General features: G+C 38.0%; 3 protein-coding genes across 39 annotated transcripts in view, besides 1 other annotated feature; 1 reads left to right on the top strand and 2 right to left on the bottom strand.

The window, feature by feature from the left end:
- The window catches only part of DNAI7 (dynein axonemal intermediate chain 7), an 88114-nt gene extending 82921 nt beyond the window's left edge, over positions 1-5193 (bottom strand). For 14 of the 30 annotated variants that reach the window (NR_147911.2, NR_147910.2, NR_147909.2 and 11 more), the window contains exon 1: positions 5109-5193. Coding sequence is in view for 17 of the 30 variants with exons in the window: in NM_001352067.2 (NP_001338996.2) it covers positions 5109-5111 (3 nt within the window). In the remaining 13 variants the exon portion in view is untranslated. Of the gene's footprint in view, positions 1-646; positions 665-4918 lie in introns of all 30 variants that reach the window. The other 16 variants (XM_011520723.2, XM_017019565.2, XM_006719101.2 and 13 more) reach the window with 3 other exon arrangements.
- Positions 5194-5269: 76 nt separating this feature from the next.
- On the top strand, positions 5270-15176 carry ETFRF1 (electron transfer flavoprotein regulatory factor 1). 4 transcript variants are annotated; one of them, XM_005253320.5, is made up of 4 exons: positions 5270-5370; positions 13758-13865; positions 13953-14040; positions 14124-15176. In XM_005253320.5, exons 3-4 carry the CDS (start codon positions 13990-13992, stop codon positions 14343-14345), a joined length of 273 nt encoding a protein of 90 aa, XP_005253377.1. In that variant the 5' UTR covers positions 5270-5370; positions 13758-13865; positions 13953-13989; the 3' UTR covers positions 14346-15176. The 4 variants fall into 4 exon arrangements, with proteins under 4 accessions (XP_005253377.1, XP_005253376.1, NP_001001660.2 ...); XM_005253319.5 differs by lacking the exon at positions 13758-13865 and having other exon boundaries at positions 5270-5374; NM_001001660.3 differs by lacking the exon at positions 13758-13865.
- Positions 5511-5630: an enhancer, noted in NCBI's record as "active region_6115". NCBI's record gives its function as "activates an Ori minimal core promoter by ATAC-STARR-seq in GM12878 lymphoblastoid cells {active_cell/tissue: GM12878}" and the evidence as "EXISTENCE:reporter gene assay evidence [ECO:0000049][PMID:35858748]".
- The window catches only part of KRAS (KRAS proto-oncogene, GTPase), a 45684-nt gene continuing 39534 nt past the window's right edge, over positions 15279-21428 (bottom strand). For all 5 annotated transcript variants that reach the window (NM_001369787.1, XM_047428826.1, NM_001369786.1 and 2 more), the window contains one exon: positions 15279-19944. In NM_001369787.1, the coding sequence (NP_001356716.1) occupies positions 19828-19944 (117 nt within the window). In that variant the 3' untranslated portion in view covers positions 15279-19827. The remainder of the gene's footprint in view (positions 19945-21428) is intronic.

Raw genomic sequence — 21428 nt, forward strand, 5'->3', positions numbered from 1 at the left:
AAAATAGGTTGGCAACTGATTTAAAAAAAAAAAAAAAAAAAGCACTTCTAAGGTCAAACAAAATATGTCTGTAGGGTAAATTTGGACTGCCAGCCAATGGATTATAAACTCTAATTTAAAGTATAAATCTACAAAGTAAAGAGAGAAAAAGGCATTCTGGAAAAAGGCATATAGAATGGTACATTGTTTATTGAACTCAAATTTCTAAACAGTACAAAAAAACCCACCAAGTATGTGTTACCATGCAACCCATTTAAAGTTGTATTACCTCAGATTTCACTTTAAAGCCATAGCACATTTTATAATTAAAATTTTATATATGTATCTAGAGTGAAGAAAAAGGGGTTCCTAATCCAACATTTTCTAGAGCAGAATTAACAAAAAGCCCCAAATCTAGACATAAGTAAAAATTAAAAGCTATTTTTAAGAGTATTTGTGAAATTAGAACTCTCTTATGTCAAATTTGAAATGCGTCCTACTGTTGTAAAGGATTATTCCATGATTTAAACTGCATTAATGTCTAAAAAGTAAGCTTAGTAAACTCTACAAACTAAAACTATAAAAATATTTTATAATTCTGTAAATATTCTGTTCATACACTGTAAGTGATTATACAACTATCTATTTTGAAAAAAATTCTACATACCTTTTTTGCTTTGGGACCCTAAAAGTTGGAAAACAAAAGAATTGATCAATTTTAAAGACAATTCTGATACAAAAGTATCATGATTATGTAAGATGTTAAAATTAGAAGAAGCTTGGTAAAGGGCATAAGGGAACTCTCTGTACCATCTTTGTAACTTTCCTTGCAAATCTAAAATTATCCCAAAATAAAATGCTTTTTTAAAAAGAGTTCAGACAAAACTACAAATAAGTATAGAAAAACTAAGTTCACCTACTGAACCATTTTTTTGTATGTAGATTTTACACTGTTTCTTAGGACAATCAATGATCCATGTTTAATGAAATGCCCTGTTACTAAACAGAGTACTAGTCAAGAAGGCACTAGTTTAAAGGGTTCAAAGGACAATAAATCATTGACCAATTATTGGCACTAATGTCAAATTTGCAAGTGTGGGAATGATCTCATAAAGAAATAACCTTTCCGTAAAGTTAGATTGATGATTTTTATAGAAAGGGAATCAGTTATTTAAAGCACGCAAAGTAGCCTCACACGGTGGCTCACTCCTGTAATAGCATTCGCGGAGGCCAAGGCGGGAGGATCACCTGAACCCAAGAGTTCAAGATCAGCCCGGGCAACACAGGAAGACCCCGTCTCTACAAAAAATTTTAAAAATTAGCCAAGCACATGCGTGTGGTCCCAGCTACTTGGGAGGCTGAGGTGGGAAGATCACTTGAGCCCGGGAGGTCAAGGCTGCAGCGAGCCATGACACTCAGCCTGGGCAGCCAAGCGAGACCGCATTTCCAAAAAATGAATAAATAAATAAAACAGGCGGCTGGGTGTGGTGGCTCACACCTGTAATCCCAGGACTTTGGGCGGCTGAGGAAGGTGGATCACGGGGTCAGGAGATGGAGGCCATCCTGGCTAACACGGTGAAACCCCGTCTCTACTAAAAATACAGAAAATTGGCCGGGCATGGTGGCATGTGTCTGTAGTCCCAGCTACTTGGGAGGCTGAGGCAGGAGAGTCGCTTGAACCTGGGAGGCGGAGCTGCAGTAAGCCAACATCGCACCACTGCACTCCAGTCTGGGTGACAGAGCAAGACTCAAAAAATAAACAAATAAATAAATAAATAAAGCAGGTAAAGCTATGATAAAATGAAGATTCTATTCAGCAATGTGTTTTAAGGCAGATCTATTCTTTTCTGGAAATTATTTTGGAAAGCACAGGATTTCAAAAAAGACTCACAGTTACAATAATATCACTTATACTTTCCTGATTAGGCTCATGTGTTTATCAGATTTCTGGTAAGGAATTTATAGGAGATCATGTGAACATAAGACACTTTACATATTTGAAGAGTTATACATGGGAAATATTAGTTCAACCCATAAGATTATACTGTGTAAAACTGAAGTTTAACACATATCAGTAGATTCCATCTTCTTGAAGAGTGCATATATTACACTAATTCACTCGGCAGATATTAATTAATGATTTACACACAAGGCAATCTGAGGCACTGGAGATAGAAAAGTAGAGACTTTGCTGCCATATAATTTTTACAAATAGATTCTATTTTTATCATAGCTTCTATCAATTAATAGTTAACATACTTCCATCGTGAAATAAGTACTAAACAGCTGAATATGTAAATAGCATTGCTCCAGTTCTCAATTAGCCATATTTTAAAGAGGGGCAAATTGTCACTTCTCACTTGTGCTTTTAATGTAAATCAGGTTTGGGGTAAGTACATATCCTCATTTCTCCTATATGTCATAATAGCCACTATGTAGTGAAGTAGTTCTCAAAGTTCAGAGGGCATAAGAATCATATGGGAAGCTTGTTAGAAATGCATATTTATGGACTAAACGTGTGTATGCTCACTTCTCTTCCTACACTGTGGTTTAGTAGATGTTATGGGCTGAATTGTATTGCTCAAAAAATTACATGTTGTCCGGGTGCGGTGGCTCACAGCTGTAATCCCAGCACTTTGGGAGGCCGAGGCAGGGGGATCACCTGAGGTCAAGACCAGCCTGGCCAACATGGTGACACCTCGTTTCTACTAAAAATACAAAAATTAGCTGGGCGTGGTGGCATGCACCTGTAATCCCAGCTACTCGGGAGGCTGAGGCAGGAGAATCGCTTGAAGGAGAATCGCTTGAACCCGGGAGGCAGAGGTTTCAGTAAGCCGAGATCGCGCCATTGCATTCCAGCCTGGGCAACAGAGCGAAACTCTGCCTCAAAAAAAAAAAAAAAAAAAAAAATCATATGTTGGCTGGGTGCACTGGCTTACTCCTGTAATCCCAGCATTTTGGGAGGTCAAAGTGGGAGAATCACTTGAGCCCAGGAGTTTGAGGGCAGCCTGGGCAACAAAGCAAGACCCTGTCTAAAAAAATTTAAAAATTAGCTGGGTGTGGTGGCACGTGCCTTGTACTCCCAGCTATTCAGGAGGCTGAGTTGGGAAGATTGCTTGAACCAGGGAGGCTGAGACTTCGATAAGCCATGATGGTGACACTGCATTGCAGCCTAGGTGACAAAGCGAGACAGTCTCAAAAAGAAAAAAAAAAAAGAAAAAAAATTCATACGTTGAAATTCTGATCCCCAGTACTTCAGAATTTGATCTAATTGGAGACAGGGTCACTGCTGATTTTATTAGTTAAATTAAGATGAAGCCATACTGAATAGGGTGGGCCCCTAATCCAATATGATTTGTGTCCTTATATAATAATAATTTTAATATACTCAGATGGAGAATGCCATGTGAAGAATGAAGTTTTGTTGCCACAAACCAAGAAACTACTAGAAGCCAGGAAAGGTCTGAACAGATCTCTCCCTAAGGCCCTCAGAGGTATCACAGACCTGCTGACACTTTGATCTTGGACTTCTAGTCTCCAGAACTACGAGACAATAAATTTCTTTTCTTTAACCACTCAGTTTGTGGCAATTCCTTACTTGGCAGACTTAGGAAACTAATACAGTAGATTTGGAGTTGAGTGGGTTCCTGGAATCTGCATTTTTAACAAGTACTCCGGGTGCATTAGAAATAAATGTTCCATGGGCCACACTTTGAGAAACATTGGGAGAAGGATCTAAGAAGAAGAAGAAACTCAGGTAACAAATTGGAAGGTAACAAGTAAGTGCTTACTGTTCCCCCAATTTATTAGCAATTATAAATTGACTTAAGGTCCATTTGCATTCCGCCAGGAATGCTCTCCACTCCCTATTTCTTTTTTTCTCTTTTTTTTTTGAGACGGAGTCTCGCTCTGTCACCCAGGCTGGAGTGCAGTGGCACAATCTCGGCTCACTGCAACCTCCGCCTCCCAGGTTCAAGCGATTCTCTTGCTTCAGCCCCCTGAGTAGCTGGAATTACAGGTGCGCGCCAACACGCCCGGCTAATTTTTGTATTTTTAGTAGAGACTGGGTTTCACCATGTTGACCAGGCTGGTCTCGAACTCCTGACATCGTGATCTGCCCGCCTCGGCCTCCCAAAGTGCTGGGATTACAGGGGTGAGCCACCGCGCCAGGCCTCCACTCCCTATTTCTTCCCACCATATGTGGAAAACTCGTATTTATACTTTAAAACAGGTTGAAAAGCACCACTCTCCTTCCCTTGTTTCCCCTCACTGAAATTTCATCATTTCCAACTGTGTGTTACCCCATTTTAGATGCTTCAATTGTTACAGTTGTAAAGCTGTATTGTAATTAATTTGTTTAATCTGTATCCTATAAGCAGAGTTGTCGTCATGTTCTTCTTGGTATTCTTGGCTTCTAGCCCAGTGCCAAGTACAAAGAATGCACTCCACATTTTTCCCTTAATTAATGAATTAAATAAGTAATTACATTCTCCACTTCCTCTGGTTTTAATTATAGAAAATGTCTTGATGGAAACCACATTTAAGAAAATCAGAGATACTCTCATAGCTACATGTTGGCCTGTCTCCTTGCTGAAAACATGGCAGTTGAGGAGTGCAGAAAAACAAAATGAGAAGCCTTATCATATTTAACTAATGCAGGATGAGAACCTTGAATCACAAAACAATTCATATTCCCACAAAAGACGACATAAAATATTTTTTCAAAGCAGAGTAAATTGCATTAGCTTTTAATTAACTGCTGGAGAAGTACTAAAACATTTCCGCCAAGTTGCAATAAGAAAATTTAGTGGGAACGTCTATCACTACTGAAAGTTACTAGGTTGGGACCAATTTTCAAGCTTAGCAACATTCGAGATCAGGATACCGTGTGACAGCTTTGACCATCTCCCGTTTGCAGAAACTGGTTTGGGACTCCTACCTGTCCGCCTGGTCCAGGTAAGGAAAGCCATTGCTGAGAAGAGGGCCGACCCACCCCAAGGTATGAGTTATTTCCCAAACCGACCCGCTTCGCTGTAAAATATGACTGGCTCTTGATTACATTATTTAACACTGGTGAAGCAGAATCAGTGGTCGCCCCTCCACCTGTCTGCCTCATTTGCCTTGCTCACCATTAAGAGTCAAGCTCCACTGCAGTAGTCCGCAGAGTCGGAGCAGAAATTGTGTGGACAAACGCTCCCGGGTTGCCCGGACGACAGGCCCCGCCCACTTGAGCTCCAGGAAAAGAGCGCAGCCGCGCGGAGGCTCTTCCGGCCGGCGCCCCGCCCCCTTTACTGACAGGTTGCCCACCTCCCCCAACGCCACCCCGCTTCGCAGTAGACGGACAGAGGAGTCGTAGCGGTCGAGGCTTTTGCGGCTCCGGCGTGCCGGAAAGTGCGTGAGTGCCGCCGCCGGGGAGTTTTGTTCCATTTCCCGGATCCTGGGGTCTGGAGGCGAAATATGCTCTGGGCGAGGACCACCGGGTGTGGGAAGAGGGTTCTGAGCGTCTCCTGACGTTGACGGTTTATTTCCTAGAGTGTGTTGGGTCTTTCTGTGAGGGTTTCGAGAAGGAAACAGGCATGCGACTGGTTCATGCAGCGGACACCCGGTGGGAGGCCTGGGCCTCTGCGGTTTAATCCAGCAGGGGGATGGGGCTCATTCCGCAATTTAAAGAGAGAAATAAGTTGGCTCCAGAGGGTTGGTTATTTTAAGATTAATGACCTTCGGATTCTTCTTTCTGCTCTATTGTTTACTTTCTGTGCAGCGTACGCGTCCTTTTTCCTAAGAGCGCCCTAAACAAGAATTGAAAATGAAGCAATTCCTGGCTAAAATATTCCTTAACATGAAGATCGCTGAGGCCCCAAAGACTCATTAGTTTCCCGAGGTCACAGACTAATTTTACTAACCACACAACCTTTAGAATTTCAGTCTCCTCCCACATGAAGAAACGCCGGCACCTTACACCGACAGGAAAACTACAATTAAGTGAGGCTGTTCTCCTCAAGCCCGACTGAGTTCTCTGTAATTGTAGGGCATACCTACACCCTGTTTTAGCATTATGAGACCTGAAATACTTTTAAATTACTGGCACCATTTCTCATCTCTGAATTATAAGTTTATAATGCTCTATCCCTTCCAGTGTTATTGACTACATGCATTATTCATAGATAAGTAGTAGGACTAAGCTAGTCTTTGTGGGTTAAAGTGTTATTATCCCTATTGTAACCTGTAACTATTATAGGTTGTGTAATAGTTATTAGCATTTTACATCCATATCCTGGTAGCAAGATAAAAACATTTTAATAGCGACTTCGTACAGAGTTCTTACTCAGTTTACCATAGCTGTTTGATATGAAAGTTAAGGCTTCCTTTTAAATTAGTTTCAGTAAAACTAATGTTTAATGATAAAACACCTCAGTCAACTCAAGTTAGGATTCATCGGGGTAAGGAGATAGTTCAGTAATCCCAAGTTACCTTAAAATAGTGGGCTTTTAGAGGAAAGGCTTTACTGAAGCTCTCACTGTATCTACCCCATGGGGAACAATGATTAACAACTTTGGCCACCACATAACCCCCAGTAAAATGACAATTTTCCATTAGCCTGGAACTGGAACTGGTTAAGTCCTAACTCCTTAGCCTAGAATGACAGGGGGAAAAAACTATCAATGGGGACTGCAACCGCTGTCTCATCCAGCGCACACATCCAAGTTTTCAGAATAATAGGGGGCTTCTCTTAGTCCTTAACTCTTGGCTCTTTACTTAAAACAGTAACCTCCATGACTTCATGCAGAGTTCAGGAGCAGCCTCAGGGCCCTGCTGAACTCAAAATTGTTTATTCACTACATTGTGAACCCAAGGAGACCTATTTCTCTTAGTGGCTAAAGTAAACCTAAATGCTTCAAGGTCAACTGCATAAAGATAAACTGCATTGCCTGGTGTGGTGGCTCACGCCTGTAATCCCAGCATTTTGAGAGGCCAAAGTGGGTGGATCACGAGGTCTGGAGATGGAGACCATCCTGGATAACACAGTGAAACCCCGTCTCTACTAAAATAATACAAAAAATTAGCCGGGCGTGGTGATCAGCACCTGTAATCCCAGCTGCTCTGGAGGCTGAGACGGGAATCGCTTGAACCCGGGAGAGGGAGGTTGCAGTGAGCCAAGATCGCACCACTACACTCCAGCCGGGTCAACAGAGCAAGACTCCGTCTCAAAAAAAAAAAAAGATAAACTGCATTAATTCATATAAGTTAACATATCAAAGAAGAACAAATTTGCCATAGCCACACTAGTTACATTTTTGCTGGGCAAGTGTTTTATGATACATAATTTGTAAAAAGACCAACAACTAAAAAGGACAACTTAAGCCAGGTCCCTGAAAGCTTTCACAAGTTACAAATTGTGAATTAAATGAAGCTGTGCTGTTAGGCATTAAACAGGTTATAGTTTGCAATTCGAAATTACATCTATGTATATTTAATTTTAAATTATGTGAAAAGAACATGGTTCCGAAGAGGTGTTTTTTGTTTGTTTTGTTTTGAGACAGGGTCTCAAAATGAATTTTGCCCAGGTTGGAGTGGTGGAACAATCACGGCTCACTACAGCCTCAACCTCCTGGGCTCAAGCGATCCTCCCACCTCAGCCTCTCAAATAGCTGAGACTACAGGCACACGCCACCATGCCTGGCTAATATTTTTTTACTTTTAGTAGAGACAAGGTCTCACTCACTATGTTGCCCAGGCTGGTCTCAAACTCCTGAGCTCAAGCCATCCTCCAGCCCTGGCCTCCCAAAGTGCTGAGATTACAGGTACAAGCCACCATGCCCAGCCTAAGAATCATTCTTAGTAAGATTATTTCACGCTGCTAATGGCTCTCTGCCAAAAGAAAAAAAAGGAAGTTTAAAGAATGAAGTAGTTAATATAGTGGGTTAAATACCCTCATCTAATTTTACTCCCTTCCAAAACTACTAAATCTACAGTAAAATGATATAAAAATAAATTGGAAAAATGGGGACAGGAGGTAACAGCAATAAAACTCAGAAGCTGGAAAACAGGTGAATGAATGTGACTTAGCACACCAGAAAAACCCAATTCACTCTGCAGAATTCTCAAAAGGCACTGAAACACGCACCCTGAAATTGGAAGTGGACTACATGAAAGCTATTTGAGAAACACCTCTAAGTAACTCTACCCCCTTACTCCCATAGAAGACTAGAGGTTTATTTCTGGACAAAGTAATACTAGTCCCTGGACTGGGGCATCCTCAGGCATTCTAGAGAAGCACACTGGAAACAAAGTTAAGTGAATTTAGGAATACATAATGCTGGATGCAGGGCCCGCATTCCTCTTATCCTTAGAAGACTGGAAGACTCAACTCTGAGGAACTGACCAGCCCAGGAGGAGCAATCCAAGATAGTGACATCAGAGGTTCCCCAGTAAAGGCCCACCCAGAGCACCCTAAGTGAAGCCCAGAGTCTATATGCTTCACCCACGTATACAGATCTAAAAAGCTTTTTTGTCTTTTCATTCATAAGAGTAGACAGAAAAGAATGACCAGACTTTGGAAGAAAGCTCAGAAGTGATAGAGACAGAAGCAAGCAGAAAAGCAATTTGAAGTAAAACAGCTCAGAAGTGATAAGAGACAAAAGCAAGCAGAAAAGCAATTTGAAGTAAAACAACAGAAAATTTCAAGAAAGCAAGAATCAGTGAACTTGGAAAGAAAAAATGCCTACATAATATGCTTGTTATGTGAATTAGCTCATTAACTAGTAGTAAGTACAATTTAACAAGTATTAATGTAGAAGTATTTTTTTCCCTAGGAAAGAGGAGCCAGAAAAGCAGTAAATGTATGACCTTCAGTTAAGAAAAGGTCATGGCTTCACTGCTATGCTGGCGGCAAGTGTCTTTCAGATTTTTTCATTGATTCAAGTGTATATTCCAGGGTTCCTTCCCCAGAGAGGCATACCCCAAGTTCTGTGTAGCCATCGACTGAGGACAGGTAGAGTCACCTATCCTACCCACGAATTGGCAGCCTTGTGGTTTAGATGGATTTCTACTTCCATGTGTTATTTCAGCATCTCTTAGCTCTGTTCTTAGACTTTGGCTGGCATTTCTATTATTTTTTTAAGTTTTGCTGAAGTAGAATTGACACTGAATTACACTTACAAAGTATAATTCGATAAATTTGGTTCATATATATACACATCTATATATGCATATTTATAGATATATATGTGCTATAATATATACTACATATAGTATAATATATAGTATACATATTTTTGTTTCCATAGAAACAAAAATAAAAGGAATTACTATGTACTATATACTATATATATCTACTATATACTACGTAGTATGTACTACATAGTACATATAGTACATATAGTACATACTGTACTATGTAGTATATAGTAATATATATAGTACATAACTATATATGTACTACATAGTACATACTATGTAGTATATGGTAGATATATATACCATAGTATACTATATACTAAAAATGGCTGGCTACCTCTGTTTGTCAATATATATTTTAATATATTTTTGCAAGTAATAGAAATGCCAGCAAAAGTCTAAGAACAGGGCTAAGTGGTGGGAAAACTACATACTATATACTATATAGTATCTATACTAATTATATAGATTTGTATATATACATATATGTATACATACACACACACACACACACACACACACACAATGAAGCCATCACCACAATCAAGACAATAAATATATCCACTATCCACAAAGGTTGCCTTGTGCATCTTTGATTCCTTCCTGGTCTCCAGCCCCTACTCCCATTCCCAGGCTACTCTATTATAATTTTTGAGTATTTTTAACATCTCTATAGTAGTCTCCAGCTATGCTGAGAGCAATCTGAGTGGTCAAAATTAACTGTCCAGGAAGAGCAGAAATGAACAACTCAGTAGAACACTTGGAAGAAGAAAATGAGAAAATCCCCCATACAACTAAATAAAAGGCTGGGCGCAGAGGCACACACCTGTTATCCCAGCACTTTGGGAAACCAAGGAGAGTGGATCACCTCAGGTCAGGAGTTCGAGACCAGCCTGGCCAACATGGTGAAAAGCCATCTCTACTAAAAATACATAAATTAGCCATGCTTAGTGGCAGGCACCTGTAATTCCAGCTACTTGGGAGGCTGAGGCAGGAGAATCACTTGAACCCAGGAGGCGGAGGTTGCAATGAGTTGAGATCAGGCCATTGCTCTCCAGCGTGGGTGATAAGAGCGAAACTCCATGCTTAAAAAAAAAAGACAAATGGAAAATAGTACAGAAAAAAGGAAGAGAACATGTTTAGAAGTTCAAACATCCAAATAATAAAAGTTCCAGGAAGGGAGAAAAAAGAAAATGGAGGAGGGAGGAAATCATGAATGAAATCATTTAAAATTTTTTCCCAAATTGAAGGAAACAAGTGTCCAGATTGCAAGGGCCAACTGAGTGTCCAGTACAATGGATAAAAATAAATCCATTATCAACACATCACTAACATTTCAAAATCTTCATGGAGAAGATTCTGTAAGTTTCTGGGGAGAGAGAGAAAAAATACATCACATACAGAGGATCACTTACCAGGACTGCTTTGAACTTAATAGCAATGGTAAAAGCAAACAGACGAGCAACTACTTCAAAATGTTGAAAAGAAAATTATTTCCAGCTTTCAATTCTATACTCAGACAAGCTATCAAACAGATAGAGGGAGCCAGCCATTTTTAGACATCCAGGGTCTCATTTACCTTCCATGTACCCTTTTCAAGAAGTTAGGATGTGCTCCACAGAAACAAAAATAAAACCAGGAAATGGAACACTTTGGAATGTAGAAAATGGGATAATCAACATAGAGGATAGGCAAGAGGAATTTCTGGGAGCATGGTCAAGTAGGATTCCAGCACCACAGTTGTGCTTCTTGATGTAGAGAGCAGTCAGTCCAGAATCAAGCAGCATGACTCACATTGATGGCTATTATCACTAAGATCCCTGCTGCCATTGTATCATCTTTTTAATCTGAGGACATTATGCCCAGGCAAGCCTGGCTCAGATTCTTACCGGTATTTGCCTTGTCTTGACCATGTGGTGATGAAATTCCTGCTCTCTTCTGTGCTGTGCTGACTGGACCAACTGAGGACACTCATTTTTACCCTTCTTTTTCAACCTATTCCTGAAAGCTGATGTTGGGCGTTGGTGAGCTTAAAGCAGAAAATAGCCTTCCTCCTTCCCATTTTTGCTATGTATTGGCCAGAAATCAGGTATCAATTCTACACTTTGATCTTTCCACATGCTTCAGTTGTGAGGAGCCCAGTATTCACTCATGACATTGCAAATTAACTTCTCTAGAAGGGATCCAGAAAGCCTGGAGAAGGTAAAGCCAGACTAGGGCTGTTTGGCTTTAATTAACAGCAGCATTGTTGCCCTTTTCCTTGCTAGATTCGTGCTTGCTGCTCAAATTGCCAAAATTAAATATTTAGGGCAATGTTCATGAGTGCTGGGAAAACTAAAGAGAATAAGCAGGAAGTCATTAGAGGCTATCTTGGTAGAGATGGGGAAGGAGAAGCAATTGGAGAGGGGCACATGGGGGCTTCTAAGACTTTTGTTTCATAACTTGAATGATGGGTACCCAGATGTATATTTTACTTTAATTTGTACATTCATATTTTATGCAGTTTCTATGTCTAATACGTATAAAAATTTCAGATTAAATGAAATACATGAAGGCACTGGCACCCTGCCTTTCAAATTGTAAAAGGTGTAAATTTTGCAAAATGCCTAAAGGGGCAGGTGAGGTCACAATGAGAATCTACACTATTGTACTTCGGGGTTCAACCCAAACAGAAGTTAACAGGAGAACTTAAATTATGTAGCGCATGATTTTTAATTGAGTATGGTACTGTAATTTTAATCCACATTTTCTGCTAGTTAACTATAAAATAACCCTTAAAACTGATCTAAAAGCCTATTTTAAAAATATAAGTTGCGGCCGGGCACGGTGGCTCACGCCTGTAATCCCAGCACTTTGGGAGGCCAAGGTGGGTGGATCACAAGGTGAGGAGATCAAGACCATCCCGGCCAACATGGTGAAACCCCGTCTCTACTGAAATACAAAAAAAAAAAAAAAAAAAATTAGCCAGGCGTGGTGGCGCGCACACGTAGTCCCAGCTTACTGGGGAGACTGAGGCAGGGGAATTGCTTGAACCAGGGAGGTGGAGGTTGCAGTGAGCTGAGATGGCACCACTGCACTCCAGCTTGGGGACAGAGCAAGAATCCATCTCAAAAAAAAAAAAGTTGCTTCCTGCTTGCCTATCAGAGTAATTCAGTCCAAAAGTCATTACGTGGGGCTGAGCAAGGCAGGCATCTGGGGAAGGTGGGGGCGAGAGAAAGGCTGGCAAGGTAGTAGCCCAGCAGGGGATACTGGAGCCCAAATGCAGTGAGGAGGGCCTCTGGGGGTAGGGACTTGTGCACAGCAGCAGCCTAGCAGGGGATGAGGAGGGCATCCTATTAGGGTGAAGGAAATGGTGGCACAGGTTTTTGGAATGGGAACAAAAGGTGAGCCTTACCCAGGAGGGAGGAAATGGTGCAGTGTAAGTTGCTTGAGCCCAAGAAGGGTAGGTTGGGGGAAAGGGGGAAGAGAAGACCATGCATGTGGGATGGTGGCAGTGGCACTCTGGCATTAGGTGGCAGAGCTCAGAGAGTAGAGTGTGTGCGCCGAATGGTGACAGCAAGAGGATTTTGATTACATAGTGAGAGAAGGGGTGATGATTATAAAAAGTAAATTTATTAAGGACAAGTGGGAACCAGACTTCTCACTGTTCAGCAAGAGTATTAAACCCATGTAAAGAGGGGAAATGAAAATAAACCCTGTAGTATTGGAATTGAATGTTAGGTAGCAGATTATATGGAGATTAATATAAAAGTCATACACACATACAACACCTAAATCCGTATGTATATACACTTGCAGCTTTGTCACTTAGAGGACCTGGGAACAGTGACAGTCCCATGGTGATTAGCATTTTTAGCACCCAGACCTTGGTTTCTAAAGCATTCCATCCAGATTATAGTTTCTAAATGCTATTCTCCATTAAAAGGACTAGGTTCCTTGGAGAAATAATTTTACAATGGACAATCTTAGCAAATACATTAATTGGGTAATCAAAGTTATCAATCACAATGGAACAAATTGCAGTTGCATCCACCTGATAGGATGCAATGTTAAGAGCTTACTATTCAACTCTAACAGGTAGTGGGAATTATTTTCTAGGTTTAGACTGTCATGATGCCTTTAAGTTTGGAGCCTCCTCTACAAAGTAGAGTTAACACATTACACATAAAGAAGCATGATTTTGCCTGTTCCTCAGGGACACCCTCTTACAGGTTGTTCATTTGGCCTCTTCACCACCAATCTTACTGCCCATCTACTATTCCAACCTGCTTAACTCACCCAGTTTCTGCTAGTTTTCAGCCTCCCTTTGGATAAGCACCCATCAGCATTTGATCAGGCTTCTGCTCAATGTCCTTCAAGTGGCTCTGGCCTTGCCTTGAGAGCAGGGTAAAGATAATCTCTTGTTTGTTGATAAGGAAAACTCAGGCTCAGCAAGGTTAATTAATCTGTACATTATGCAACTGGAATTTAAATCTAGTTTAACTCATTCCACTGTGGCATAAAAGGAGGTACACGTACCTATCTGTGATGACAATCCACTTTCTCATTTCCTTCATGTGACTTCTCACAATCACAATTGTCTTTGCTTATGTCTCCCATAGGAAAACGTCAATTATGACAGCAGGTAATTTTATCGGAAGTGTTTATAACTATATCCCAGTACGTGGAACGAAAAAGTTATCAAGAAATATTTATTGAATGTAAAAAAGGTTACCATTTTCTCAATGTGTATAACCTTTTTTTATTTTTTTAAGACTACAATGCAGCTAATTGCAAAAAAATTTTCCTTTCTTTAGGTATGTTATGCATAAAAGTGGATAATTTACATGATAAATGAAAATGGCCAATTCTTTAAGAGGAGAAGTACTAAAACTTTATAAAAATGTAAGTAATTATGTTGCCAATTTTATAAAAATGTTATTATATGACATGGATTGTTTAGAAATATATAATCTTTCTTTTTGAAGCTGCTGTATCTTGGACGAGACTATCCAAAAGGAGCAGACTATTTTAAAAAGCGTTTGAAGAACATTTTCCTTAAAAACAAAGATGTGAAGAATCCAGAGAAGATCAAAGAACTTATTGCACAGGGCGAATTTGTAATGAAAGAGCTAGAAGCTTTGTACTTCCTTAGGAAATACAGAGCTATGAAACAACGCTATTATTCAGATACCAACAAAACTAATTGATCATTACTACTTTAATTTAGCTATCAGTGCCAGCTGTTTATGTATACCAGATGTTGTAAAATAATTCTAACTTAAAATGGGAAGATATACATGTTGTGTAAAAAATCCCTGAGCTGCCCTACTGAACTAAATAGGTTTCAACTTCTGTTCATACGGAGAAAGTATCAGCAACTTTATGCTCAATTTTGATACAAACATAGCAATTTAGCTATACTACCGATCATAAATTAATGAGCACCCAATTTTGAATGAAAATATAATACACTTAATCCTCTAACTTAATAGGACTTAGCCAATTATTTTTAGCTTATTTCTCCATTTTACTGACAAGAGAATGCCATTTACCGAACATTTAATAAGCAAAATAATTTCTTACACACTTACTTCTCTTAACTTTTGAAAGGAATCCCTTATTTTTTCACCCAATTTGGTATATTAACAGCACATACTCAAGGTTCACTACAAAACAAACAGTTCCTGGTAATGATTTAAATGTAGTTATAGAAATAAATAATATGTATGGAGTCATTACTTCTGACCTTGAAATAGCCTGCTGGTGACTGGCATTAACATACATAACTAACTATTCAATTATTTCCATTATTAATGTTGCTGCTGCTACCTTTGGGCCTAAAACCAAGTCACCTGTTGTGTATCAATTACCTTCTTTGATAAAAGGAAATAAATAAATAATGTTATCCTATTTTTTTGTCATAAAGGCAGATTTGTTTTGCATCTACTTCTAAATATGGTTTTAAGTTTAAGCAAACACGCCTTTACATAATATCCACAGCACCTTTTAGAAATAAAGGATACTTCTAACAAGCTGCATAAAAGATTCACTGGTATACTATAGTGTCTATGGCTTATAAAGTATTCCATATCCATTTCGGGGCAAACAGTTCAAATTTCATGAATAAATACACACTCATAGTCACTGTAACTATTTTTATTACATTACAATAATTAGGAGTAGTACAGTTCATGACAAAAATATTACAAATTTTAGATCACTTCACAGCACATACTCCTATAAACATTTAAAAGTTAATTTCAATTAAAAGAGTGGTCATTTTTAATGTTTGATATGACCAACATTCCTAGGTCAGCGCAACCAAATGATGGAAAACAACTGGATCACACTGCATATGTCCCACAAAAGAAAGCACAATGTACAAAATGTGCATGTTTCAGTTTACACTATACAAAAATAGTTAAAATACATTCCAGGTAAACATGTTACATTAAGAAATAGTACTAGTAAGAAATTGGCACTCAAAGGAAAAATGCAAAAGTATTTTCAACATGAAAACACAAGACAGTGGAATTGGAAACTTTCGGATAAAACACTGTAACCCAGTTAGCTCTGTGGGGGTGTGGGGGGAGAGATGGGCCCTCAACATATCTGCAGATAACTTTTTTTTCCCCTAAATTCATCTAAATTACCTATCATTATCCCAAACAGGCACTTCAAACTATTAAACTAAAACACAGATCTTAATCTAGTTATGACTATTCTTCAAGAACTCATGTGAGTATCTTTCTTTAGAAAGAAAGTTTCATTTTATGACAGCTATTCAGTTTCTCAATGCAGAATTCATGCTATCCAGTATTAACACAGAAGTTACTAAATATAAATTCAGCTTTAAGGTAACTGCTGGGTTCTAAAAAACATTACTACACAATTATCAAGAAATCATTACTTTTTGACAAATGGAAATCTTCAGATAGTTTTTGCTGTCTAAAAAAAAATCCCCTAAAAAAAGTTATATACTGTTTGAAGAAAAAATGTTTAGAAGAAAAAAAAAATCAATGGAATACAAATGAGATGAACTTGTGCAAACTGTAACTTAACATGCCCCACAAAGTTTCTATGTATATATTAGGACAAAATTGTGCAATGGTGACAACAGTTTTGATAACCTATAAAAGTTAGGTTCTAAATTCCTATGCAGTGTGACTCAGTTAAATAGAGCCTAGAATGCCTACTTGGGAACATTCACTCAAATGATACAATATACGTCTGCTATATTCTTCCACAAACATGTTAATGCCTAAGTCTATGTAATTTAGCTTTTTTTAAAAAAACTTCAACAAGGATTTTTGTCTTTAAGGCTGTAATAATTAGGTAACATTTATTTCTAGAATTCTCCCCCTTTAAAATCTCTACAAAAACAAATCTTTTGTTAAACCATTCAAAGTTCACATAAAGGTAATTAACCACTACCTTAAAAAAATGCCCATCTACATCAAAAATTCAAGAGGCCTAAATATCCCCTCATAAGCACTGCAGTTCCTGAAGTATGGCCATTTCTTTCTCTGTGTAGAAACGAGGTACTGTGTAAGTCTTAACACCCTACCTAAACAGTGTTCCAAAGATCTGTAGTTTCACATAGCAATTCAGAAATCATAGTGATTTTTACATAGAAGTTTCCTTGTCTGTGAACTAGTTCAGGCACCTGTTTATTTGTACCCAGATAAAACTATTAATTTTTAAGTATATTTTAATTACTTATGCAGAGAAAACTGGAATATTACACATTTGGGTCAATATGAATATCTGACATACACCTTAATGTGTACAGTAATTGTCCTAAAAGAATCACAGTTATGCCAAATAAAAAAACAATATAATCAAGTTTATTCCTTTAAAACAATGAAGTGATTTACATAAAGTAGCTTGATCGAAGAGTTTCAGTGGAATCGTAGCAAAACAATTATAGAGCTGGCACAGAGACCAAACCCCTTCTTTGCAAAACTAAAATACGCATCGTGTTATCTCTGGGTCGTATACCAAAGGCCTTAGTAAGATATTACAGACCACACTAGCACTACCTAAGGACCGGGATTATGTCTCTTGTTTGGGGATACCATATACCCAGTGCCTTGTGTGGTGACTGGCATCTGGTAGGCACTCAATAAATATTTGCTGAATAAATGAGTTCTGCAAAACAGGTTTATGAGGCCAAGGTGGGTGAATCACTTGAGGTCAGGAGTTCGAGACCAGCCTGGCCAACAGGGTGAAACCCCGTCTCTCCTAAAAATACAAAAATTAGTTGAGTGTAGTGGCACACGCCTGTAATCCCAGCTACTCAGGAGGCCGAGGCACGAGAATCGCTTGAACCTGGGAGATGGAGGTTGCAGTGAGCTGAGATGGCGCCACTGCATTCCAGCCTGGGTGACAAGAGCGAGACTCTGACACCAAAAAAAAAAAGTAAGCTTCATGAATTAAAGTATTTTTCATTGCATGAAGATTTCTGGTTACTAAAACAATGGAATGTATTACTGTTACCAGGAGTAGTCCTAGTTATAGATTACCTAAGGAATTCTTTCAGCACTATCTTTATTAAATTCTCCTTCCACTGGATAGGGTTCTGTCTATTCATACCAGGTTTGAAAAATCCTACTGTCGCTAATGGATTGGGCAGCAAAGAGATGTTCAAAGCATCAGCCACCACCTGAAAATTAGTGATTAGGTCAAATCCCTTTATGGTATCTGTCAGATTCTCTTGAGCCCTGAGGAAATAAGATGTAGGGCATTTCTGATGTGACTCAGTGGGAAAACTTCATGGAGATATCCACAGCAGCAGTAAATCTTATGGTTAGGGGAATTACAAGTATTAAAACTGCATCAAGTCATGGGGCATGTGGAAGGTAGGGAGGCAAGATGACACTAATATGGAAGAAGAGTCCTAAAACGAGAATGGATATTCAAATATAAACTTCACCTCTTGCACAATTTTGCCCAAGACTGGCACTGAAGATGGTGTAACATAGGTTAAAAATTTACAGATTGTGCTGAGCTTGACAAATAAGTGTATCCTTATGTAAATGGAATATAAATTACATAGTTGTAAAAAAAAAAAACTAAGAGTTTGAGATGACTTCTTTTAACATGAAGAAATGGATAGTAAGTGATGTCCTCAAAATCAGAGTCCTAAAAGACACCTATCTAGAACCTAAGTCACCTTCTTCCTAGTCCAGTGATACTTTCACCTCACCATGCCATCTCACTTCATTTATTTTAAAATAAGTAACATTTTAAATTTATCAAAAGGATTGTTTTTATTTTTATTTTAAAGCATTATTAAATATGGATCAGACTTGAAAAGTGTTTATGCAATGTTAATTTAACCAGTGTTAAGAGAACTAGCCAAACCTAGAGATTGTAAAACTTTTTCACTTCATTGTTTAAAAAAAAAATTAATGTCTTGGCACACCACCACCCCAAAATCTCAACTTTTGAGTTAATATTTAAAAGTAATTTTTAAAAAAGAGTTTGTTTTCTTAAGAAACAAAAGCAATGCTCTTGATTTGTCAGCAGGACCACCACAGAGTGAGATTGTATCTTGTTGAGCTATCCAAACTGCCCTAGTCCCTCCCCATTTTGACTAACCAATGCATGACAACACTGGATGACCGTGGGGACACAGTCCATGCTGTGAAACTCTCTATGAAAGCTCAAAGGTTCACACAGGGCCTGGCCTTGCAACCTTGGTCTCTTCAACACCTAATAAGCTATAACTGGCCCAAATAATCTTTTAATGTCACAAGCAGAATTAAAACTATCTTCAAAGACTCAAGTTGAAGAAAAGATTTAAAGTTATACTATGAAAGAGCAGTCTGACACAGGGAGACTACATTTAATTCCTATGAGAATTTTTTATACTTGTTAAAATCTTTTCAATTATTATAAAAATTTAGTAGCATGTAAATATAGCCCCAAAATGGTTGCTATAATAATCCCCATTTCATACTGGGTCTGCCTTAACAGGAAAAGCTATTAGGAGTCTTTATAGTAATTTATCTAATGTGAAAAGGAAATGGCCTTATAATAGTTTCCATTGCCTTGTAATTTTTTTCCATTTTTTTCTTTTTATAGAAAAAATATAATATTTTGGGGAGAGTGACCATGACTAATAGCAGTGGAAAGGAGACAAAACCTTTGTGAACAGTGTAACTTTACATTCATCAGGGATGACAAACTATAGGACATGATGCCTAGAAGAATCATCATCAGGAAGCCCATAAATTTGTGTTCCCTCAATGTTTCAGTAAAAACCAATTAGAAGGTCTCAACTGAAATTAGTAATTAATCCATTTATGTGACTAGATAAAACACAGAATAGGGATGATTCAAAAGCTTCATTAATTTGTTTCACACCAACATTCACAATTGGTAAGAAAAATAAGAAGTAATCAACTGCATGCACCAAAAGCCCCAAGACAGAAATCTTAGGTATTCAGTTTCTTTTTCACAGGCATTGCTAGTTCAAAAACCAAAACTCTGGGAATACTGGCACTTAGAGGAAAAAAAAACTTCCACTGTCATTTTAAAATAAGCATTTAAGGTAAAAGCTAACAGTCTGCATGGAGCAGGAAAAAAATTAGGTAATGCTAAAACAAATGCTAATAATTTAGTGTAATGTACAAAAATTACCACTTGTACTAGTATGCCTTAAGAAAAAAGTACAAATTGTATTTACATAATTACACACTTTGTCTTTGACTTCTTTTTCTTCTTTTTACCATCTTTGCTCATCTTTTCTTTATGTTTTCGAATTTCTCGAACTAATGTATAGAAGGCATCATCAACACCCTGAAATACATAAAAAGTATTAAAATGTGAATATATACGATGGCTTCATGTGTACAGGTAACAAATTTCATTAATGGAAAAAATATTAAGAAAGGATTCTTTATGTTTCTCTTCAGGCAACTGAATATATATTACATATATTAGGACTTTTAGAATTCTTAAATGTCATCCGCATAGGTGTTTTGTCAATATTATAAACAGGAACACTAATTTTCACAAAAGACAAGGATAACCAATGGCACAGAATTTTAAATAAGGTAACGACTTTTTCACAGGAGAACTTAATTTGCTACTATTTTTTCCACATTGGCAAACCTAAGTCATCAAAATCCAAATGCATGTGTGTGTGTGTACACTTAATTGTCCTTATGTTTCTGGACTTTAGATATAAGCCATGCAACTGTAAACTATGTTCATATATCTTCACACACAGTAACAGTATTTGAGCTCCAGTTCTATACTTACGTAAAATCCATTGGATTTAAAAATTTACCAAGAAGTAAACAGTATTCGAACATCCTATTCCAATAATTTATCAACAAGTAAACAGTATCTAAACATATTATTTCAGTTTTCAAATGATATATATTAAGGGATTAGTTTCAATTCATATATTTATCATTAAGAAAAAGGTTTAAAGTGACCCCAACACAGGAGAATACCACTTTAAAAAAAACACTAATACCTCAGATTTGTGGAGAAATTAGCTAAATCATTTGAAAGGTCTTATAGTTTACCAATTTGGAGGAGATTCTTTCTATCCCATAAAGTTTTAATTTCTGTTGTATTCAAAAGCTTGCCATATAAAGCCAAATATCCTGTCTTCAAAGAGTTTAACAGTTAGTCATTGTGACCACCATCTATTTATGATTAAAGCAAGGTTATTTAAATTTAATGGCTAAAAGCGATTTTAAGCCATAATACTTTTCAACCTAATAATCTACAGTGTGAAAAATGGCACTCTCAAACTGGTAGTAGATTTTAAACCTGCAGTACTTAAATTATGCAAGATCCATACACAAGTCAATTCTTGTCATGTCTCCAATTAAAAGAAAAATATAAATAAAAGCAAAAAATGAAGAAAAAATATGATTCTCTCTGTATTTTAAAGCCTGTTCAACTGAGTAGTAACTATAAAAAGAAAATCTGTTAACCTCACAATACTTCCAAACCTAGACAGCAGAGGGAGTCTTAGAAACAAATACCCAACACATTAAGTTGTATAAATCAAGCCACTTTAGGAACAATGAAAACTGGGTTTTTACTCATTGTAATCACTTTGTAGGATATTATAAACTGTGTAAATAAATGTATTAAAAAAATTATATGTGTAAAAATATTCAAGTGATATTATCTTGAAATTAATTTAAAATGTTAAGTGGGCGGGGTGCGGTGGCTCAAGCCTGTAATCCCAGCACTTTGGGAGGCCAAGACGGGTGGATCACTTGAGGTGAGGAGTTTCAGACCAGCCTGGCCAACATGGT

This window comes from Homo sapiens, chromosome 12 (genome assembly GCF_000001405.40).
Source record: "Homo sapiens chromosome 12, GRCh38.p14 Primary Assembly".
In the NCBI taxonomy this organism is placed as follows: domain Eukaryota; kingdom Metazoa; phylum Chordata; class Mammalia; order Primates; family Hominidae; genus Homo; species Homo sapiens.

Bases quoted from the DNA above. Each gene is read 5' to 3' on its own strand.
- ETFRF1 (XM_005253319.5), top strand. From the start codon at position 13,990: ATGAAAATGGCCAATTCTTTAAGAGGAGAAGTACTAAAACTTTATAAA. The intron at 14,041-14,123 runs GTAAGTAATTAT...TTCTTTTTGAAG, and splicing joins TACTAAAACTTTATAAAAAT to CTGCTGTATCTTGGACGAGA.